Below are 6,181 nucleotides of genomic sequence, written 5' to 3' on the forward strand. Positions count from 1 at the left end.
AAATATTACTTGAGTGCCTGCTATATATCAGGCACTATTAGAGACACCACGTTTATAGCACGGAAGAAAAAAGTTCTTGCCCCCATGGAGCTTAAAGTCTATTGAGGAGGAAGAAAAATTAGCCAGGCATGGTGGCACATGCCTATAGTCTCAGCTACTCAGGAGGCTGAGGTGGAAGGATTGCTTGAGCCCAGAAGTCAAGGCTGCAGTGAACCACGATGGCACCACTGCACTCTAGCCTAGGCGACAGAGTGAGACTCTGTGTCCAAAAAAGAAAAAAAAATCCTCAACTCTCATAGCATTATTTAACAGATAATGTCAAAAAAGAAATATAAGCCAGGTGCAGTGGCTCACGTCTATAATCTGAGCACTTTGGAAGGCCAAGTGGGGTGGATCACTTAAACCCAGGAGTTGGAGATCAGCCTGGGCAACATGGCAAAATTCCGTCTCTATAAAAAATACAAAAATTAGCCAGGTGGGTTGGCATATGCCTTCAGTCCCAGCTACTCAGGAGGCTGAGGTGGAAGGATCACTTGAGCCCAGGAGGTCGAGGCTGTAGAGTGCCGTGATCACACCACTGCACTCCATCCTGGGTAACAAAGCCAGACCCTGTCTCAAAAAAAAAAAAAAAAAAAAAAAAAAGAGTAAACCAGGCCAAAGACTAATAAGTAAATTCAATCAGCACCATTTAAAAAAATACTTACACTTTATCCTCAAAGCAAAAATCTTGTTTCTCAGTGATTATGCTCAAGTTTTTGAGAGAGACTAAAGTTTTCCTTTAATTTTAATTATCCCACTGAATACACAATAGGAGTCACAAAATGGCAGTAGGAATGTAAAGAAGCCAGTGCTGCCAATTTAAAACGGCTACCTTTTAAGTGTTACTTGTAGCACTGTGGCACACTGCGTGGCTAAGGGACAGGGTTGGTGCATGCCAGCCAGGAAGCGAGCAGAAGATCCAGAAGGATCTAGAAGGATCTACTTCCATTTTCTCTCCTAACCTGGCCCTAGACAACTTCTGTCCTCCTTATTCTTAAATAGAAACCTTTTTTTTTTTTTTCTGGGAAGGAACACCTTGGAAAGAGGACCTATGCCAAAATGTATAAATACCATTATATTAAACACACAACTATACTGTACAATAAAATTCAGATGAGGCAACATGACTTCCAACGGCTGTTCACTGCCAGAAAGTAAACATTTGACGTTACAGTTAATTTCCTCATTTACACACTGAAATACCTCCGTCTTTTAAAGGAAACGTATGCAAAAAACTCGAGCAGAATTGAATACATTGAACCTCAACACACAATTGTTTCAGGATATGATATCCCAAAAAACTTTCTGCAGTGGCTGGTGATTGGCACTTGTGACAATTTAGTGTCCTAAAACAAGCTCTCAGGCAAATTAGCAATGTGTGCATTTTTACATTAAAAATACCACAAACGGGCTGGGCACAGTGGCTCACGCCTGTAATCCCAGCACTTTGGAAAGCCGAGGAGGGTGGATCACCTGAGGTAAGGAGTTCAAGACCAGTCTGGCCAACTTGGTGAAACCCCGTCTCTACTAAAAATAGAAAAATTAGCTGGGCATAGGGGCGGGCACCTGTAATCCCAGCTACTTGGGAGGCTGAGGCAACAGAATCACTTGAACCTGGGAGGCAGACGTTGCAGTGAGCTGGGATCGTGCCACTGCGCTCCAGCCTGGGCGACAGAACAAGACTCTTGTCAAAAAAAAAAAAAAAAAAGAAAGAAAGAAAGAAAAGAAAAGAAAAGAAAGAAAATGCCACAAAACATTCTTTCAATTAGAAAATTCTTTTCGTTATTTGTAAATTGAAGATAATACAAAACTTTCTTCACACAAAATTTATGAAAAGGACTAGGACCCACATTTAATGGAATAAAATGCTACCTAACACAGAATTCCTCTGTAAAATAAAATTCCAAATTCCATTAAATGGCAGCCGATGATAAGACACTTAAGTGCAGTCACTGGTGCAAAACATTAAGGACACAGCCAGATGATTAAATTGTGCATTTGTAAATCAAGATTACTCCAAAACTTTTATTTTATAAGGAAATTAATGAAGAGGAAACAAGACCAGAATTTGGACAAATAAAATTATACCAAATAGGCTGTTCTGTTATAAAATGCACTCAATCGACAGTTAATTTCCTCTACTGCAAACTGAAACTTGTACAAAACCTTTCATAAGAAACCTATGAAGTTTCCAATGCCAACAATATTTTTTTAAGAGACAGGGTCTCGCTCTGTCGCCTAGGCTGCAGTACAGTGGCACAGACGCAGCTCACTTCAGCCTCGTCCTCCTGGGCTAAAGAGGTCCTCATACGTGGCCAAGACTACTCGGGGAGACTACATCTGGCTATTTATTTATTTTGAGATGTAGTCTCACTGTGTCGCCCAGGCTAGAGTGCAGTGGCACAATTTCGGCTCACTGCAACCTTCGCCTCCTGGTTTCAAGTGATTCTCTTGCCTCAGCCTCCCCAGTAGATGGGATTACAGGCACATATCACCACGCCTGGCTGATTTTCATATTTTTAGTAGAGACGGGGTTTCACCGTGTTGACCAGGCTAGTCTCGAACTCCTGACCTCAGGAGATCCACTCACTTCAGCCTCCCAAAGTGCTGGGATTACAGGCATGAGCCACGGCGCCCGGCCTAATTTTTTTTTTTTTTTTTTTTTTTTTTTTTTTGTAGAAATGAGGTCTCCCTCTGCTGTTCAGGCTGGTCTCTAACTCCTGGACTCAAGCCTCCTTCCCACCTCCCAAAGCACTGGGATTACAAACACTAGCCACCACAGCTAGAGAGGCAGAGCATCCATATTGTTTGTAAAACATCAACTGCAATTAAGACCAAACTTTTAAAGGCAAATGAATGAAAAATATGAGAAGCACTCTTCGTGGAATACAATTAAATTCACAACTATACTGTATAAAAATGCAAAATAGCGAATGACCAACAGGAGGCTATCTGAAGTTGTCAATGAACAATTCCTGCACTGACCAGACAACATTTTCAAGTTTTAAACACCAGAAAACTTTTCTTTTATTTGAAAGTGAGTGGATGAAAGAACCGACTCCAAAAGATAACCACAAATATTACATTTTTAAAAGAAAGAAATACAAACAACATCGCAGCAGCTAATGGCCATTAACTGTCCTAATACCGTGCACAATCCCTCCCAATGGGAAGCTGATTCTTTCCAGGTCCAAAGTAACAGAAAGAGAGGCCAGGCGTGGTGACTCACGCCTGTAATCCCAGCAGTGTGGGACACTGAGGCGGGTGGACCACCTGAGGTCAGGTGTTGGAGCTCAGCCTGAGAAATATGGTGAATCTCTGTCTCTACTAAAAATACAAAAACTAGCCAGGCGTCGTGGCAGGCGCCTGTAATCCCAGTTACTCAGGAGGATGAGGCAGGAGAATCGCTTAAACCCAGGAGGCGGAGGTTGCAATGGGCCGAGATCATGCCACTGCACTACAGCCTGGATGACAGAATGAGACTCCGTCTCAAAAAAAACAAAAACAGAAAAACGAAAAGAAAAGAAAAAGTATACTACTACATTTCATATAGCCACATATAGAAAGCACACTACAAATATCTAACTCTCAATAACTATTACAAATGAAAAGCAAATTGATCTTACAATAGTTTGTGGAAGAAGTCGACACCCCTGACACACCAACGCTCCACCACGTGCCCACTTAACGATCGAAAACAAAATGGGCCCCGCCACAGGGGCAGGCTTCTTTTATTGCCAGTGTATGGCTCCACCCTCAAAGATCCTGATTGGTTGTGACTGAAACAATTGACCAGGATACTGTCTACTCCCACCTTCTCTATAACAGGAAAGTCCGTCCACACCCCGGGCCTTTGCTCCTTATTGGTGGGAAGGATTATTGCTTGGAGGTGTTGCGCGTGCAGTGGCAGGAACTGTGGGGAATGGAAGGAAAAAACTATCACAAAGTAACTCCCACGAGACTTTCTGCGTGGTTCCCGCAATGAATTCAAATAACGCGCCAACCGCTTTTACATTTTTTGCATATTATTGCCTTGTACGGGAAAGATCTTCCCAGCCATTTCTACCATTGGGATGAGACTCAATTCGTAGCAGGGAATTGAAACCCACCCCTCAGCATTTACGTTTGGGAAAAAGGAACGGGCGTGATGCCAGGACGGGGATCTACAGTGAAAAATGAGCCTAAATAGCTGTACACCTAACAATTGTGCATAGGAAGTAAGGGCATTAAATTGGGGATGGTGCCGCCATTGCAGGTGAGTTAAACAGAATGGGCATTAAACTAAGTGAGCATAAGCAGTTAGGAGAGAGTTTATACGACTGGGAGAATGGATGTGGGGTGATAAGAGGACTGAGGAAGGGGATCACGAGTAGAACTAGGAAATGGCCATACTAGCGTTTGAATCCATGACCCTCTAGCACCAATGTCTGTGTCGTAGACCACTATTTAAGAGTAATCAGCCTCCTACTAGAATTTCCTTTCCCCCCATCTCTGTCCACCAATTAGGTCCCAGCTCAAACACAGCCGCCTCCATGATGCATTCACTGATCCTTTCCCTCTCTTACCAGGCCCTCTCTTGCTGCTATCAGGTGGGGAATATGGGAAAACATTAGAATTGGGGTGCAAGGGAGTGCTGTCAGCACTGGCATCAGTTAGCACCGGGCTGGATGTGGCGAGAAGGACCCAGATTTGTACTGGGATGTTTGCATTTGTTAGGTTGCAGAAATTCTGCAAAATCCAGTGCAAAAAAATAACCTAGCCCATACCTGTCTCCTGACTGGTCAGAGAATTATAAATTTAGACTACAGTTGAAAGTAAACTTGGTAGGGCTGGGCGTGGTGACTCACGCCTGTAATCCCAGCACCTTGGTAGGCCGAGCAGGTGGATCACCTGAGGCCAGGAGTCTGAGGCCAGCCTGGCCAACATGGTGAAACCGCATCTCTACTAAAAGGAGAAAAAAATTAGCCACGCGTGGTGGTGCGTTCCTCTGATCCCAGCTACTCGGGAGGCTGAGGAAGGAGAATCTCTTGAATCCCAGAAGCAGAGGTTGCAGTGAGCCGAGATAGCTCCACTGCACTCCAGCCTCGGCGACAGAGTGAGAGTCTGTCCGAAGAAAAAGAAAAAAAAAAAAAAGAAAAGAAAAGAAAAGAAAAAAAGCACTGCAAAATATAAGATAAAATGCAAAATCAGTTTCCTGACAGCCACTGTGCTGTCCCTGCACCTGCTCAACCAACCGTGGCATGTATTTCCTTATTTTTAAGTGAAAACCACCACAAAACTTTAGACAGCATACATGAGGGGACCAAAAACAATATTTAAACAAGTAAAATGTTAGAGTCATCACTTTGGAAGGTAAAACACAACACTGTGACCAAATTCAGCTAAGGGACCCAAACTGTCTTAAATCCAAAGCCCTCTAGACTGTTTAAGTATGCTATTAAACATATTAAAGTATACTATTTACCGAGCATTGTGGCTCATGCCTGTAATCCCAGCCCTTTTGGAGGCCAAGGCGGGTGGATCATCTGAGGTCAGGTGTTTGTGCCCAGCCTGAGCAATATGGTGAATCCCCGTCTCTACTAAAAATACAAAAACTACCTAGGCGTGGTGGCACACACTTGTAGTCGCAGCTACTCGGAAGGCTGAGACAGAAGAATCACTTGATCCCAGGCGTCGGGGGTTGCAGTGAGTTGCAATCACACCACTGCACTCCAGCCTGGGTAACAGAGTCAGACTCCATCTGAAAAAAAAAAAATGTAAATAAGCCAAACAACAAAGTTGGTAAACCAAGTAAGGTATAATAGCCCCCAGGATTGGTCAGAGCCAGGAATTCAACCTATGTTGTTAACCACATTTGAGGATGGGTAGGAAGAAACCATTAAGAGAAGAAACTAGAAGAGTGTTCCCAATAAGATAAAGTGACTGAAATAAACAAGTGTACGTGTACAGTAATGGGATGAAGTGGGAGGGGTATCTTCTGCTACTTCAGTTCTACTTAACTCTTCAGCGTCCTTCAAGTTGAAAGAACACCAAAGATTACAGACCTCATTCCTTGGAGGCCCATTGTTTTATGATTTAGATTGAATGACCAAAGTATGGTCTTCCATTCCATCCAAATCAGTTGGGAAGCTGCCTTTTTTAT

At 43.3% G+C, this 6,181-nt stretch overlaps 1 protein-coding gene across 1 annotated transcript in view; it reads right to left on the reverse strand.

The window, feature by feature from the left end:
• The window catches only part of USP26 (ubiquitin specific peptidase 26), a 73,942-nt gene extending 70,197 nt beyond the window's left edge, over nt 1-3,745 (reverse strand). Inside the window, exon 1 of the mRNA NM_031907.3 lies at nt 3,666-3,745. The gene's annotated coding sequence lies outside the window, so the exon portion shown is untranslated. The remainder of the gene's footprint in view (nt 1-3,665) is intronic.
• Nucleotides 3,746-6,181: the final 2,436 nt, after the last annotated feature.

Source organism: Homo sapiens, chromosome X (assembly GCF_000001405.40).
Source record: "Homo sapiens chromosome X, GRCh38.p14 Primary Assembly".
In the NCBI taxonomy this organism is placed as follows: Eukaryota; Metazoa; Chordata; class Mammalia; order Primates; family Hominidae; genus Homo; species Homo sapiens.